Here is a 16,090-nt window from a genome sequence, read left to right as displayed (position 1 = left end):
AAACTTTCTTAAAACATCATGAGGTTTTTTTTTGCGATTTTTTTTTTTTTTAGGTCATCAGCTATCCTTAGTGTACTTTATGTGTGGTCCAAGACAATTTTTCTTCCAATGTGACCCAGGGAAGCCAAAAGATTGAACACCCCTGACTATGGGGCCAAGGCCATTTGCCTAGCAGTCCAGCAGACAGGGGATTTTTTTGGTGGGAAGGTAAAGATGAGGAGCCGCCTTTGGGTTTTGGGAAACAGAAATCCACTCATATTAACTTATAGGCACCTTGCAGAACCCAAGAGCCAGAAGTGTGCCGTGACCTCAGGATTGATGGCTGGGGACTGGGCAGGAACACAGGCCCAGGTCAGCTGCTTCCTCCCTTCTGCCCTGGCTTCTCCCTGGGGTCCACCTCGTCCTTTCCCCTCCAGTGGGCTTTCATTGCCTCTGGGTAGCAGGGCAAAGATGCCTCCAAACACTTCCTAAGATCTAATATCTCTGACCTGCAATTCTAACTCCCCAGGAGGGAGTCTGATGTGTTCCCTTCTGGGCATACTGCTATGGCCAGGGAGTAAAGTTGTCTCATCTCAGAGAAGGGGGAATGTAAGCTGGATAGACCCCCAGAGGTCATGCAGGACTGTCCTGTGTTGGGAACAGGCCCCCAAAATCTGGCCATAAACTGGCCCCAAAACTGGCCATAAACAAAATCTCTGCAGCACTGTGACATGTTCGTGATGGCCATGACGCCCATGCTGGAAGGTTGTGGGTTTACCAAAATGAGGGCAAGGAACACCTGGCCCACCCAGGGCGGAAAACCGCTTAAAGTCCTTCTTAAACCGCAAACAATAGCATGAGTGATCTGTGCATTAAGGACATGCTCCTGCTGCAGATAACTAGCCCAACCCATCCTTTTATTTCTGCCTATCCTTTTGTTGCCCATAAGGAATACTTTTAGTTAATCTATAATCTATAGAAGCAATGCTAATCACTGGCTTGCTGTTAATAAATATGTGGGTAAATCTCTGTTTGAGGCTCTCAGCTCTGAAGGCTGTGAGACCCCTGGTTTCCCACTCCACACCTCTATATTTCTGTGTGTGTGTCTTTAATTCCTCTAGCGCTGCTGGGTTAGGGTCTCTCCAACCGAGTTGGTCTTGGCAGTCCTGGAGAGGTATGGTCAGAACCCAAGTTCTGGGGAGATGGTGCTGAGAGTTTTGCATTTTCACTTCTCACTCTGCCCTTTAAAGTAATACATAGGCTTCCACATTTATAATTCTGTGGAGTTATTAAATCCAGAAATAAAGCTTTACTCTTTTAAGCTCTGCATTGTAAAAGCAGAAGTTAAAGACCAGGCAAAGGAAAGCTCACCAGCCAGGCTGAGGGGTCCACAGGGCCTGCAGAGGCCACAGCTGCTAACAGGAGCTAAGGCCACAGGACAGACCCTACTTTCCAGCCGGAGAAATAGAAAAGTTCTCCTGGACCACAGACCACACTAAACTGCAAAGGCAGACACAGAGAGGCTGGGTGGCAGGCCCTGAAGAGACCTATCCTGAAGGCCCTGAGAAATACCAGGACAGTCTCAGCAGCTCTCAAAATGGGCATGCTTTCCTCTAAACCAGGTAGAGGAGTGGGGAGCAGTGGAAGGGGATGCCCCCAGGAGCCTTGGGGAAGGGGTGCCTGTTCAAGGAGAGATGAGAAGAGGCCCAGAAAATCTGAGACTGGAGGAGGAGGAAAAGGAGGGCTTGGTTTCTGTTTAGCTCAGAGCCCATCCCAGAGGAAACATTGACAGCTGAATCAACAACTTCTTCCTGTCCATCTCTGCCCTGTCCCTCTCCACCATCCAGGGCGCTCACAACACCGGCTCAGCTTCCTTGATTAAAATGAACAAGACAAACACTTTGGATTCGCTGGCAGGCAGATACTAAGACCAGCATTGGAGAAGAGAGGATATTGAGAACAAGGAGGGGAGCTTAGGAAGTAAAGCAGGAAACCCTGAGGCCCAGTGTGGCGGAGAGGGGAGCCCTCTCAATACTGCCTTGGGGGAGCCCTCTCAATACTGCCTTGTGATGGAGAAGCAACATCTGGACCTAAGACCTAGCAGACAGCTGCCTCCACCACAGCAGCCCCTCCTGGTTCTTGGTGCCCTTCCCACATCCCCATCCTTGGGTGTTTACTGTACCACCCAATGGCTAGGCACTGGGGCATATGTGGGACTTCTCTTTGGGCTTTTAACCCCTCTCTCCTCTACTAGGCCCTTTGCCTTCCACTGTCTTTTGTTCAACAAAATCAGAGGTCATAACCTATTTCTGCCAAGTGATGGGTTGTGGAGGGTCTGATGGGGGTCTGAGGCTACTTGTGGATGATAGGATTTAGCTACCGGTGCTGTCTCCTGGAGCAGCAGATAATTTAGTTTAATGAATTTGGACAGTTCACTGGATCTGCCCACACAGTTCTACTCACCTTCCATAATGCTTCCAAAATAGCACTAGCTGTTGCACAGGAGCCAAAAAGAAGGAAGAGAAAAGTAATAAACGACAAGGCCCCAGAGATTTCTGCCCTTTCAGAAAAGCCTGAATGAACTTTTCCACAGAAATTGTAAGCCAAAAAAAGATATGCTTTTTTTCTTTCTCATGGAGGAGGAATCAGGCAAAGATAGATGCCACAAAGACAAGCACACACATGCAACGCGGAAGAACCTGGTTACCTGATTTTCATGGAAGTAATAAGGCGTTAAGAATGTACTTCAAATACATATTCCTTGACGTCACTTATACACACGGAGTCTCAGGTTATGCTCTCATCAAGGGCATCAGAGCCGCTCCTGGTGTTTGGTGCTCTAACAAGGTAACTCCAGAGACACGGCCTGACCCTACAGCCTCCTATCACACACTCATACAGCCACACAAGCTAGCAGACAAGCTCCCCTGCCACATGCAGGCACATATACACATACACGTACACATACGCAGTCACACTAGGGAGCAGACAAGCACCTCTGCCACACACAGGCACCTCCCACCCCCAACACACACACACACACACACACACACAGTCACGCTAGGGAGCAGACAAGCTCCCCTTCCACATGGGGCACCCACAGTCCCCACACTGCTCTGCCAGCCGTGTGGCCCAGACCCCATTCTCCAGGCCTGTGCTCAGAATGCCCTTCCCCCTCAACCCCTCCCTGTGCACCACGTGTGCCGCAGCCAGCTGTTCTGTGGGCAGACCCTTCCGTGGGCTGACAGGTGGTGATTACTGTTGCCAGCCCCACATTAGGAGAGAATTCAATGGGAGAGAGCCCCTGCCCGCCCCGGTCTCCCTATAATAGCGCCTTTCTGAGGTGCTTCACTGTCTTTCTTTCCCCATCCTCATCAACCTACGTCTGGAGCAGCTCTGCCTGAGGAGAAAAGAAAAGAAGATAAAGGGAGGCTCACAGGGCCCTGACTGAGCCACCCCACCTGGGGCGGGAAGGAGGGCTGTGCTTTGGGGAGAAGGCTGTGCCCCCTTCCCGCACTTGGCTAGAGCAAATAACCAAGAGGACCCCCAGGCATGCCTGAGGTGGACTCCTCATGAAAGCAGTGGATCCTGCCCATCAGCCAGCCTTGCCCCTGCGAGCTGAGCATGCAGCAGTGAGGGTGAGGCTGGGGTGGGGGCCTGGTGCAGAAATCAGCAGATTCCTGGAGACTGGAGTCCAAAGCCTGGAGCCTTCCTCCTCCTCTCCCTTCTCCCTTCCCTCTTCCCCACATTACGCTCTGCAATCCAACGCCAGAGGCCAGGGTATGGGCCAGAGAGGGTTAAGTTTCCAGAAGTCCTGACGGGCTTCAGCCAGGTTCAGGGCTGGAGTGGGTAGGTGAGGGTGATGAGAGTGGAGAAAAGGAAAGCAAGAATAGGCTGCAGACCGTGTAAGGCCAACATCTGGGACACGGTCACTGCCCCTCCTCCCTGCACAAACCGCAGACGCCGTGGCAGCAGGAAAATCAGAGCGGTCCAGACCAAGAATGATTGTGCAACCTGGCCCTGCAGGAGCACAACGCTGGAGGTGGGAGTGGAGGTCTGGGGTGCGGGGCAGAGTCCACTTTAGAGGGGAGACTTCAGTTCTTACTAAAAACACAGGCATTCAGGGCTCTGGTTTCCACACTAGAATGCAATGCAACTAACATGCATTTTGTAGTTCAAAATCCTCTGAGAATCGGAACTGGAATCTCTGCCCTGGGCCCCAGTGTCTCACAGCCAGAGGCACGGTGCCACTGAGGTTCTAGGATGGCTGCTGTGGATTGGCTGCTGTGGATGGCGGTGGGTGTGGAAGGAGGCCTTTCGTCCAGCCTCCTAAAGTGGCGGGATTCTGCCACCTCCCCCAGGCGCCTCACAGTAAACTCTTCCTCAGCAAAGGGAGCCCCGCCCAAGTCTTTAATATGGCTCAAGGAGTGGGGATGGGTTGGGAGGGAGAAACTGGATGGTCAGGGGGAAGTTTGATCTGAGGGCTACCCCAAACAAACACAGGAGAGGAGCAGTGGATTTTCCTTTTAATGCAAAATGTTGCAATACAAAACAATGTGGAGAAAGTCCTGTTCCTCAGGACACTGAAGGGAGGAGTGAGGAAGAGAGGACAGAGCTGGACGTCTCCTCCTATTTCTCCCTCCCCAAGTCACTCTGAGGGGAAGAACACTGCTGCCTGCTCCCTGGGCCTGCCCGCATACAAGGTTAGAGCCCTGGGTCTGGGGCATCCTTAGCCTGAAATTTGTTGACATGGGGCAGGAGAGCAGGAGGGAACATTGAGGGTTTTGACTCTTCGGGCTCTAAAAGGATTACTCAGGATCTGGAGTTCCGTATGAAACAAAGGAGCTGAAAGAATTTGATTGCCATTGGCTAAAAATATAGAGGATTTGAGCCACAACTGGCCCACATTTGAAGAATGAGGAACAAGAAATTTAGTGGGGATATAATATAAATGTATGGGAGTGAGAAAGATGCAAAAAACAAGGCTAGCTCCTCAAACCTCCTCCTCTTTCTTCCTCATCTCCAGCTTATAGACAATCTGGTAGCCATCATCCCAGGCATAGAGCTGGCGTTCTCGGGGGTTATAGCGGAGGCTGGCATGGGCACCATATCTGCGGGGAAAATAAGGGAGTGCTGCCCGTTCAGGGGTCAGGGTGCCGCTGGCATCAAAGGAGCACTGGATGCGGGCCCGACTGGCAGGACGGGTGTTATAGACGACATAGAGGGTCCCACAGATGACAAAGGCAGCCTCAGCATTCTCTCTGGGACATGGTGTGTCCCACTGCTGCTCTGTGTCCAGTGTCTGTGGATCTAACTTGGCCAGACACAAGTGCCTGTCATCCTCCCGGGTGGCATAGACAGCCCAAAGACCTTCCTCATCAGCTGCCAGGTCGATGTAGGTGTCTGCTGTCAAGCCGTAGGGGGGGATCAGCCCCTCTGCTGGGAATACTGAGCTGTCCACCACTGTTCGGTTTGCCAGGTGGAATTTGATTAGCTGCAAAGTGTTCTCCATCTCACCACCTCCACCAGGTCTTCCAGGAGGCCTCCGAGCAAAATAAAGAAAGCCACCATATACCAGCTGCCCTGTGCCTACCCAGGGGAAGGGCACCCGGACTCGGGAAGCTTTCCGGGCAGCCATGGCAAGGGTGAAGTCACGCAGCCTTGGGAAGACAAAGGCTGTGTCATTCTGTGTCCCATCTAACACGTAGATCTTCTCTGTTTGCCCCAGTGGATCCTTGGTCCATAGACCAGCTGGGCCACCAAATCGCTTCAGAATCTTCATTGATCTCACTTGAGAGATTGTGTAGCCACAGTCTGATGAGAAAAGCACAGGAAAAGGAAATAGAGGCAAGAATTAGATGCCTCCAGCAGGAACTCCCCCAGGGTGGGTGATCTGGAGAATAGTGAGCATTTGCCCAGTGGTTGCCTCCAATCTTAGGGAGAATTGAGAAAGAGCGGGTACCACAGCGGCCTGGATCCCCAGAACCTCTCCTTAATAGACCTGGCATTACAGAGGTTTCCCTAAAACAGATTCCAGAAGACAGAGCCACAATGGACTGGGACAAAGCGAAAAAAAGAGTAAGAAGCAAGGAAGGAAGAATATCGGTTCTGAGAAGAGTTAGGGGCCTGCTTTCAGATTATTTACCTGTCACCATATCGTACTTCTCATTCCTTCTTCCCTTGCCTTTGGTCCCAGGGCCTCCAGTCACCTTCTCATCAAACTCTACACAGGGCAGAGCTGGGTTCTGGGTCTCCAGATAGTCTACCTCCCGCTCCAGACGATCCACTCTCCCGGAGATGGTGTCGGCCTCAGTTCTGAGTGCCTCCCGCTCCTTCTCTGCCACCTCCAGCAGTGGCAGCATCTTGTTCTTGAAGTCCCGCAGCTCAGCAGCATGCCGACTACTCTGGTCCTGGCACTGGGCCAGCCGTTCCTGAAGGGATGGGGGATCAGGAGGGAGGCTGCAGGGTTACAACTCCCAGGCAGGGAGAGGCCCAACTCGGGAGTCAGGAATGGGAAAAAAAGAGCAAACTCAGCCAGGCTTCAATATCCCCTTCCACTCCTGCAGAAAAGGAAACCAGATGTGCAGAGGTGCTAAATGTGCAAAGAGCCTAGCTGAGATTCACCTAGGCCCCTACCCCGACTCCATGTCCTCCAGCCTGTGTTCTCTGTGAGCAGTGCCACTGAGCCATCTGAGCCTCTAGGCAGGTCTAAGCGCATGAAGGTGTGAAGAGGTCTCTGCTCCCTTAGCAATTATCCTCTCGGACACTAAAATGCTACGGATCTCAACCTGTTAAAAAGACAGGAAGTTATAGATTCCCCGGGAACCTCCAACTTCAACAGAATCATCACCTTCTCTGGAGATGCAGCCCCACAATTTTGGCTCTCGTTTCCACTCTGCCCCCTTATTCTATCTAATCCCAGAGGTAAAACGCAAAAGTCGATTTGCTTTGGAATTGTTCTATGTGGGGTAAGAGGAGGGCTTGTCATTCCGAAGGTCCTCTTATTAAGAGAGAATTTTCTGTAGACTCTAACAGAGCCCTTTCTTGTTATCCCCAGATCCCTAACAAACTGGTTGAACCAATAGCCCTGGAATCCTTCTAGGCGGGGCTAGAAGAGAAAGGGGTCCCTCACCTCTAAAGCAGCTAGTCGGCGTTCCATGTACTCCACAAGGTGGTGCTGCTGTCCTTGGAGGGGTCCCGACCATGACAAAAGGAACAAGATGAGGAGAGGGGTGCTGGGCCCCATGGCAGCCTGGAGAGTGGTGCCAGAGTAGAAGGAACGTACAGTCAGCCTCTTCCCCTCAAGCCCGAGGGTTAGCTTTGGAGGCGGGGTGGGGGCGGTGCCTTCTCTCCTGATCTCTGGGTCTCTCTCACTACTCTGGAATGCTTTCAGTTCTCTTTACAACCCCCACCCCCTCCTTTCCGCCAGGATTGATCAAACACAGATGGCCCCATTGCACAGCAGCCAGAAGCCTTAACCACCTCCCGCCTAGGCTGTAGGGTCCTCTGGAGGGGAAAGAGATGGAAACCCGAAAGCAGAGGCCTTCTAGGCAGTCAAGCAGGGAAGCTAGCTGCAGAAAGCAGAGACCCCAGAGAAAACTCAGCAAACGCCATTCCTGTTTTAGGAAAGTTTCACCAGTGCTGACTTAAGAAACTGACATTTTTCATTAATCTTTCCCTTTCCCTGCAATAGAGTGGGTTTTCAGCCTTGTTCAGTAGAAGCTGGGAGCTGGGGAGGTGAGGCTTGAAGGGAGGAAGCAGGAAAACAATGGCCCAAGTGGTCAAGCCCAACTTATTCTAAAGCTCATTGGCGCCACCTTGTGCTAAGCAGCTGGTGTCATCTCTCATGATAATACAGAAACTAAGGCTTAGACTTCACCCCATGAGGAAAATTTTCCACAAAAGCCAAATATATTGAATTTACAGGGGTTTTCACCACTGAAATGCATATTTCCCCCAAGACTATCCAATTACTACTTTGGGGGCTATGCAAATATCTGATTTAGCCCAAGGAAGAAAATATAACTGAGATTAAAAAAAAAAAAAAAACAGGTCACTGAGAAGTTAGTAAATTAACTCGATCGTCTGGAAGTTAAGGCTGACAGCAGCGCTGTTTTACATGGCTTTCCTTTGCTTGAAAGAGGCCAGATATAGTCTCTCACCAAAACTGAGGAGTGTTCAGTGAGTTCACACTAATTTACTATACATTCATGTATTGCGGGGGGGCGGAATCTGATATATATATATATGTTGTTGCAGTCTAGATCAATGTATTCTGACTTCCTTACCACTGGGAGAAAAGACTATTGGTTATTTCTCTTGGTTGTGGTCCAAAAGGGTATTTCTGAGTGTTTCTCATTTCTATATCCCAACTAAGGCTGCAGGAGCCCAAAATGAATTAATGGCCACCATAAGGTAGACTTGGGCCATAAGGTAGACACACGGGCCGAAAAAAAAAATCAAATAGAGCATTTACTCAGAGACCTGCAGTCATTAATCGAAACAAACCCCTATTTCTTTATCGGGAGAAATTCTATTCACTTTAGAATCAACAGAATCTGATGAGAGGTTCCTTCTGTAAAAAGGACCATGACTCTAACAGTACAGTTTGAAAGGAGGGGAAAAATAGCAGCTTCCTGTGGTTACTCATCTTTTCATTCTGCTACTGCTATCTGGCAAAACATATGAGGAAACAAAGCTTAATTAGCCGGTCTCAGAAGTCTTCTACCTCTTTCAAAGGGTCAGATCCAGATGATGTGAAGTAAGGACCCTGGACACTGCATTCTTGGGAAGTATTCCCTGCCAAACCCTATTCATTTCCAGTATGGAGATTTGTGTGAAGAATGAAATTGTCTCTAGTACTCTACTGATGTTCAAATACAATATGCTTAGCCACTTTCAAAGATGTCATTTATTGATCCCCTTTATATCCTATAACAGAAGTCAAAAACAGCCACATAAGTCAGAAAATTTACCCATTTTATTGATGCATTGCAATTGCTCTACATTTTACCATATTATGTAGAAAATACTGAAAATACAAGCTACTTTGTAAAACCAAAGACAAACATTGAATCCAAAGATAAACTATGTTTTACACAATGGACCCTTTTCCCATAGTTAGTATTAAATTTTAAATATCTATTTCTTTTGTTAAAATGATTATTTTACATACTCCCTAAGTACATCTGCATTACAAACATAGCTCAGTAATTCTCAGAAACTATCTGTTTCTAGAGGCTTGTTGTAAAAGAAAGCGCACAACCAAAAAAAGGGAGAAAGCAAAAAAAGTTTAAATCGCACACAATAACTAGCATATCAAATACATTTAATAAAGTAGGAATTCCATTGCAATATCAAGGATTCAAAGCAGAAATACTAACATTACATATAATGTACATATAATGTACTGCTACATGTAGTGAGATTATTTTTCAAGCTGAATTGAAACCACACATTATATAAAGTTTAGCAACAAACAACCATGTAGACATGCTGCACCATCTATCAGTTAAAAAAAAAAAAAATCAAAATAGGAAGCAGGCTCGGGCCACTCCTGTCACTGAGAGGCAATTTCATTTCCTATCCTAAAACAAACCATCTCAACTAGTGAATTTTTGCATAATAATGCTGAACAAAACACACATTACTGTGCTTGCCTGGCTAAGGGCAGTCAAGCTTAGCCCCTCTAGTGGAGGACAATGGATGAGCAATCACAAAAGCAGGCTCAGAATGGCCAGAACTGTTTGAAATGGAGTTCTTATTCCTGGGGTTGGTATTTCAGCTGAGCACTGAAAATAATATCACCTCCTGGGAGCTATTAAAAACTCTGGAGTGACCAAGTGTCCCTATGAGCCCAGAGTGGCTACACTGAACCCTTCTCCGCTTCTTCTCTCACCCGGAAAGGAAGAAGTTGGAAATGCCAAGTTCTGAGAGAGGACTTAAAGCCTTAAGCTGGTTTGAGGTCAGGTCACTGTGACCCAGGCCAGCTGCTCACTAAATTCACCAGGCTTCCTCCCTTCCTGTCAGGGCCAACAGGGCTAACCCCAGGGACAGAATCTAAAGCCACAGTGAGCACATACATACACATTCAGCAGACACAGGTGGATTTTTATGCTGGAAAATCGGAAATGCCAGTTTGCAGACTAAGACTGAAAAATCTCTAGTTTTTAAAGCCACACACTGCTAGGCAAGTGACTAAGGTAACAATACAAGCTCTTGGTATTATCCTTTTCTGTGGAGTTTAGACTCCTATCTTAAGTGGTATCTGCTTATTGGACTGGGGTGCAGGAATGGGATTTGGTTTTCTTTCCTGCATCTCATTTCTTACAAAAACAACAAATCTTGTCCCTTACAGAAAAAAGACAAGGAACAAAAAATTTGTCCTTTAGAAACTAGACCTGTGTTCCAACAAGAAAATCAGAATGTGCTTGGCAAAAAGGAGACACAAAGATCACACATGTTGACCAGAAAACTGTATGACACTAGTGACAGAAATTATACAAACTGCTTGGCTATCTTGACCAATATAGTGCTGAAAACACAACTCAATATAATGATTTTAAAAAATAAAGAAAACACAACATGTTCCTGGTAGGCTGTACGGACTACCTGCCCCATCTTGGAAGCCCTTACTCCTTACAATGAAGAAACTCCAAATACTTTGACAGCTCCTCGGTGTTCAACCTGGTACAGAGCTGGCTGACCAGGCTCCATGAAATCTCCCATCTCCATCCTGCACCTCCTTGACACCATCTCTATCTACACAGAACCAGTCCTAAAATTATATCTCAAATATATCATTTTCAATTCAGATGGAACACACCTGTATTTTAGGATTAATCTTCTTTCCCCAAATCCTTTATGGGCAGGAATGTCCCCATCCCCAGTACCTTCTACTTGACCCAGATCCATGCAGGAGCTGAGAGTACAAGGACAATTTCACAGCTTGAAGGGCCCCAAGACTATACAAGCTGTTAAAAAAGAAACCTCAAAAGCCTCAATGACTCAACAGGCTTTGGTTCCTTCTCTATATTCTTCACCAGCTAAGAAACCTTTCTGTGAGTTCCTTGTCACCAGCGGCACCACAAAACTTCTCCTCATAGTATGGGGACATGGTAAGCAATACAACAGGCTCTTTGGTATAAACACATCTGTTAACATGTTTTTTTCAACAAGCAAATATTTTACTAGGAATGTCAACTATGTGCAGGAAGGACTGCCACATGGGAAAAGGAAAAAAAAATTCATTCTAAAAGTGATTGCACATACTTTAAAAGAATGCATATTTAATATTGGCTTGACTCCTCTCACCTGCTTCCTGAATTCTCACAGAAGCAAGGTAGCAACGCACAGTGAGAGAGCCACATGGGGAAAATGCTTCTGTGAGAACTCAGCCGAGAATCCAAAATGGAAAGGGGTAGAGGTGGTGGTAAAGGAGAAAAGCTGCTGTTTTTATTTTTCAATGTTGGCAGGGAAACTGAGAACAATGCATTACACAATACAGCTACTAATCCTGTTCTGATAAATCCCGGTGAACAACTTAGGGTCCACGGGGGCTTGCTGGTCCATCCTAAGGCAAGCTCACTGTAAACTCTATTAACCACTACATTATCATATAAGGCACTACAATAAGGGAAGGAGGAAGAAAGGGAAGGAAGAGACACACACTGAAAAACTCCTCACCAGACACACCTGTGCAAAACAATTCCAAGGGTCTCCTCTCCTTGCAGGCAATGCCCCTGCTCATTCAGCACTACAGTAATATGCTCTAATATAATTGCAATTAGTTCACATACATTCCAACAAGTATCAGTTCATTTTGGTTTAAATACAATGGAGACATCAATCCATCTCCGGGATAACACTGGAGGATCACATACACACTAAGTACACAATTCAAGTGTAATCACTACACATTTGATTACAAATAACATTTTGGGTTAGCAGGAAAAATTGCTTGTTATATTTTTCTAATCAATATGTACATATTTAATTATGTAAAATATTAAAACACCACCATTACAAAACTTCTAAAATATTTTTAAATTCAGTAATAAATTTTTAAAATATTTTTTGCAATTCCTACATGCACTTATTATATAAGTCTTAATAAGAGAGCATTCAATTTGCTGCTGGCATACAAAGGAAGCTACTTTGAAGTATAAAAGCTATACACAAGAAATGTTCTTATCTGGTTTCAGGTTTTTTTAGCTTTCTCCCCAAACAAATCACATAAAACAGAAGGGAGAGATGAGCAAAACAGAGGTGTATTACTGAAAATTCATACTAATCTTTAGGCAAAGCTCATCAATGCCAGTATCTCATAATAGACAGAGATTTTGCATATAATAAAACCACCACCACCATGTAATAATAACCACCTTAATGGCTTTTTCGATAAAAAAATTTAAGCTGAATCAGAGAGAGAAAGACTTTTAAAAAATAATTTAAAAAAGAATTCATGGTGCTTCATTTAAAAAGAATACTTGGTGTTTTCACGCAGATATGGATTCTCTCACATTAAGTTACCAGCAAATGGTGAGCTGCCTTTTAAACACTACTTTATAACAAACACAGGAGCAATTGAGAGAATCTCAATAGTAACACAGAGTAATACGTAACCAGTTTTGCAAAAATAACAATTGCCCATTAAGTATAATATGACATTAAAACAAAACTGAAACTCTGTAAGTTTAAATGTCCAATAAACAAAAGGGAGATTGTGTAAGCCGCTTTTAAAATAAAATAGGCAAGTCTGAGTTTATAAACAAACAAAAAGTAATTTTTCTTTTTTTGTCATCAGATTTCAACTCCTTCTATCAGCATTTTTCCTGACCAGCAATCACAATAACACAAAATGAAATAAAGAGGGGCTTCACTTGTTTTTAAAAGCATTTATAGAAATCAAGTCAGAGAGACAAAATATTTTTCAGAGGGTAACTTCAGAACAATCTCTCTTCCTTGGTAACTGCAGAAGATGGGCATCTGAACTCTTCCAAGTACCAAAATTACTGTCACAAAAATAATGAATTTAAAAATAGGGCAAACTTTGGGAAGACTACAACAATGCAGTCAACACTGAGACAGGTTCCCCCAGAGAAAAACCTTCTGCTTCAGTGGGCCCCTGCAGAACAAGTTGCTGGCTAAGAAATTTCAAGAGGGTAAAGGAGGATCTCTCCATAGCCCAATATTAAGAACGCAGGGCCAGGAGAAGGTAGCCATGATTCCTCCTCCCTCATGCTCACCAACTATAAGTAGGAATACTGGCTGATCTTGGTAGGACTCAGCGGGTATCCAGTGTAAATTGTTGAGCCTCGGGAAGACCCAATGTAGGATTGGGTGGCAAACTGGTGTTGGTACTGAGCAGGGGCCACGCTGGCAGAAGTGAGGAGGCTGGGCCCAACACTGACAGGGACCTGGTGCACCAAAGTGCTAGGGTGAGTGGTATAGGCTGCAGCATGCCTTGAGGAACCCTGTGGGGAGAAAAGATGAGCAATGGAGCTGGTTGAGCCCAGTGCAGCAGCAGAAGTCGGGGCAGCATACGTATACAGATGAGCCTGGCTTGGCAGGTGAGCAGGGGCCGGGGCAAGGTGTGGGTGCCCTGTCGAGTGTAGCGGGCTGCCATGCTGGAAGGTGTAGGGGGCTTGGGAGAGAGGGGCCACAAACGCCTGCTGCCTGCGGGGGGCTGGGTTGCTGCTTCTCTCCTGTGAGGTTGGAGCCGCCGATGACTGCTGGTTCTGGAAGAAAGAAGGAAGAAGTGAGGAATCCTGAGGTCACTCCAGCTCAGGGCACCAAAGGCCAAGTTAAGAGCTCAGGTTCTGACTTGTACTGTTTTCGAATGGGTATAGCACATAATCTCCCACACTGGCATTGAATGCTGTCAGAAATCAGCCACCCCTCCTTCTGCCTCTTAGCAAGATAGATCCTAATCTGGCTCAGGTAACAGCATTTTGCTTGTAAGTATGACAGGAAGAGGGAGAATCAAGAGATCATAGGGTTCCCCACTCCTGCAAGTTAATAACTGGTGACTCAACTCACCCTATTCTGGCGTCAGTAAATTTGAATTTTTCCTAGCCTTTATTTCTTACCATTGCTTTCTTTTGTTTTCGTCCTCTAAGTTCTTCATACCCCTCTTGAAATGTGGAAACTAAAATACATGCACTAACTCAAACTTACATTTTCACTTGCATGTGCTCTCTCTCACATACCCTCATACTGACACTTTCTCACTACTGGTGGACATCATACAAGCACTCGAATTTTAGCTTCTAAGAGTGAACACAAATAGAATAAAGTAATGAGAGAAGCAGAAGGGTAGGTTGGGGCTGGGGGTGTTCGGAGAGTGGGGAAGTCCCAAATCGCAGACTCCAGCAACAAGTAGGACCTAGAACCAGTTGAATTTGGTGGCCAATGAGCTTTTCACAATCTCTTGACTCAAGTAAACAATGTAAGGATCAGCTTACTTATGGCCTGGGGGATAAAGAGAATCTGGTCTCAAAGCATATGCCTATCACAGACATGGTTAAAGCACCCCAGGCTCTTTCTAAATCCCAGACGTTTCTCTAACCTTCCAGGGTAGACTTAGGGAGGTCTGATGGAAAACCTAGAATGTACATCCTGAACACACTTACAGAGTGAATGAAGAGACACAGCATATGCGGTACGACGTAAGCCATAGAACACAAAATTGTTTGACACAAAAGGGGCTTCATTTGGCTTTATTCAGCATCCAGCCAGAAGCAGGGTTCTCCAGAAAGTAACAACAGTGCAGGGCCCAAACAGAAGGCAGTAGCCCATAGCACTTACCTGGCTAAGATTGAGTGGTTGTGCTGCACTGGTCCCCCCGCGTTGAGCTCGATACCCTGTGGGGGTGATACAGCATCCAGATGACTGCCCACTCACTGAAGCGACTGGCTTAGTCTTATTGCTCAGGAGACCTAAAAAAGCACCAGGCTTAATAGTTATGAGTAGACATCACTGAGCTAACCTCAGATGGCATCATATTAATTAGTCCACATCTGTATGTAGTTTGCAAGCATTAAGGTCTCAATTCTATTTACATCAGAAGAAAATAACCTGTTATCACCCATTTCTTTTCTGTCTTGGCACAAATCTCCACATAGGATCCTCAAAATGTTCACTTAAATAAATATTATAAATATTTTAACTATAATCTCTTGTTATATACAAGGAACGACTGGAAATACAAATATGCTAAGACACCATCCCTCTCTCCAAGAGTTTATAGTTTTATGTAGGAAGGGATTAAACAAGCACAGAAATGATAATGTGAAGCTGAGAAAGCTATTGGTAATTCTTAGGATATTAAAGTGGCAAGAGGGTTTAAAAGAAGGCAAAATTCTATCTTGTTGGACACTTACTGTCTTCAAATTCTTAGAAATTACAGGACAGCTGAATGTGAAATTTTGCTTGCTTCTGTGTTCCCATTAGGAAAACCAGAGCATTTATTCAGTGTCTCATGTGATAGCCTATATTCTCTGGACCCAAGAGCACACGGAGGTACTAATAATTCTATTCAGTAGCCTGGCATCAGGAAGCTCTCTCTCTTGTCTGCAATGGGACAACTGTCTACTTCTGAAAAGAATCACACAGAGGCATAACACAATACCCTCAAATTACAACCCTGTTTATGTCTATGGCAGTAAGATAATACATAATAAAACATAATTTATACAAGTATGGCCCAGGTTTATGTTGACACCTAAACTTCACCAACCCCTTCCTTGGTATGAAGTTGTCACTGAAAAGCAGCTGCCTTAACAAGACTACATTGCCTGGGCTCACTTGCATCTAGGTGGGGCCATGTGAGAAGCATTCACTATTTCCACTTATTTCCAGCCTAAAGAGGTTAAGACATGTGTGTGCCTCCTTCACACTTTCTTTCTCCTTCTGACTGGATGCTCAGGAATCAAACACTTGTACCAAGAAATTATATGAGAGAGAAGTAAAATTCTACTATGTTATGCTACAAAAATCTAGGATTTGTTACTGCAACTGCTATTACCCAACTAACACAATAACTAAACCAGGGAGCTTAAGTCCAGTATCTAACAGGGCAAAGATGATGGAAGTAATTGGGTTGGTAATA

The 16,090-nt window shown here is 45.8% G+C and overlaps 2 protein-coding genes across 21 annotated transcripts in view, besides 4 other annotated features; both read right to left on the bottom strand.

Moving 5' to 3' along the window:
* Positions 2,472 to 3,435: an enhancer, noted in NCBI's record as "H3K27ac-H3K4me1 hESC enhancer chr1:114525929-114526892 (GRCh37/hg19 assembly coordinates)". NCBI's record gives its function as "activates a minimal SCP1, AML or CMV promoter by ChIP-STARR-seq in primed H9 embryonic stem cells {active_cell/tissue: H9 hESC(primed)}" and the evidence as "EXISTENCE:reporter gene assay evidence [ECO:0000049][PMID:30033119]".
* On the bottom strand, positions 4,489 to 7,268 carry OLFML3 (olfactomedin like 3). Of its 4 annotated transcripts, NM_001286352.3 has the most exons (4): positions 7,112 to 7,268; positions 6,616 to 6,767; positions 6,125 to 6,410; positions 4,489 to 5,793 (listed from the first exon to the last, which is right to left on the bottom strand). In NM_001286352.3, exons 2-4 carry the CDS (start codon positions 6,667 to 6,669, stop codon positions 4,973 to 4,975), a joined length of 1,161 nt encoding a protein of 386 aa, NP_001273281.1. In that variant the 5' UTR covers positions 6,670 to 6,767; positions 7,112 to 7,268; the 3' UTR covers positions 4,489 to 4,972. The 4 variants fall into 4 exon arrangements, with proteins under 4 accessions (NP_001273281.1, NP_001273282.1, NP_064575.1 ...); NM_001286353.3 differs by lacking the exon at positions 6,616 to 6,767 and having other exon boundaries at positions 6,125 to 6,539; NM_020190.5 differs by lacking the exon at positions 6,616 to 6,767.
* Positions 4,691 to 5,523: an enhancer, noted in NCBI's record as "H3K4me1 hESC enhancer chr1:114523841-114524673 (GRCh37/hg19 assembly coordinates)". NCBI's record gives its function as "activates a minimal SCP1, AML or CMV promoter by ChIP-STARR-seq in naive H9 embryonic stem cells {active_cell/tissue: H9 hESC(naive)}" and the evidence as "EXISTENCE:reporter gene assay evidence [ECO:0000049][PMID:30033119]".
* Positions 7,191 to 8,024: an enhancer, noted in NCBI's record as "NANOG-H3K27ac hESC enhancer chr1:114521340-114522173 (GRCh37/hg19 assembly coordinates)". NCBI's record gives its function as "activates a minimal SCP1, AML or CMV promoter by ChIP-STARR-seq in naive H9 embryonic stem cells {active_cell/tissue: H9 hESC(naive)}" and the evidence as "EXISTENCE:reporter gene assay evidence [ECO:0000049][PMID:30033119]".
* Positions 8,873 to 16,090, bottom strand: part of HIPK1 (homeodomain interacting protein kinase 1) — a 48,546-nt gene continuing 41,328 nt past the window's right edge. For 13 of the 17 annotated variants that reach the window (NM_198268.3, XM_005270610.6, XM_006710443.5 and 10 more), the window contains 2 exons: positions 14,788 to 14,918; positions 8,873 to 13,718 (listed from right to left, as the gene is read on the bottom strand). In NM_198268.3, coding sequence (NP_938009.1) covers positions 13,230 to 13,718; positions 14,788 to 14,918 — 620 coding nt within the window. In that variant the 3' untranslated portion in view covers positions 8,873 to 13,229. Of the gene's footprint in view, positions 13,719 to 14,683; positions 14,919 to 16,090 lie in introns of those variants that run through there. The other 4 variants (XM_005270611.6, XM_047449119.1, XM_047449130.1 and 1 more) reach the window with 2 other exon arrangements.
* Positions 9,330 to 9,907: an enhancer, noted in NCBI's record as "OCT4-NANOG-H3K27ac hESC enhancer chr1:114519457-114520034 (GRCh37/hg19 assembly coordinates)". NCBI's record gives its function as "activates a minimal SCP1, AML or CMV promoter by ChIP-STARR-seq in primed H9 embryonic stem cells {active_cell/tissue: H9 hESC(primed)}" and the evidence as "EXISTENCE:reporter gene assay evidence [ECO:0000049][PMID:30033119]".

The sequence above is a fragment of the Homo sapiens genome, chromosome 1, assembly GCF_000001405.40.
Source record: "Homo sapiens chromosome 1, GRCh38.p14 Primary Assembly".
NCBI classification, from domain to species: domain Eukaryota; kingdom Metazoa; phylum Chordata; class Mammalia; order Primates; family Hominidae; genus Homo; species Homo sapiens.
Note: the sequence above shows the minus strand (reverse complement) of the source record. Positions and strands in the feature narration are given on the sequence as shown.

What these genes read in the sequence shown, in the direction of transcription:
- OLFML3 (NM_020190.5), bottom strand. Translation starts at nt 7,225, where the DNA reads ATGGGGCCCAGCACCCCTCTCCTCATCTTGTTCCTTTTGTCATGGTCG. An exon ending in GCCGACTAGCTGCTTTAGAG is followed by an intron (nt 6,411 to 7,111) that starts GTGAGGGACCCC and finishes CCATCCCTTCAG; the next exon opens with GAACGGCTGGCCCAGTGCCA. An exon ending in GAAGTACGATATGGTGACAG is followed by an intron (nt 5,794 to 6,124) that starts GTAAATAATCTG and finishes TTTTCTCATCAG; the next exon opens with ACTGTGGCTACACAATCTCT.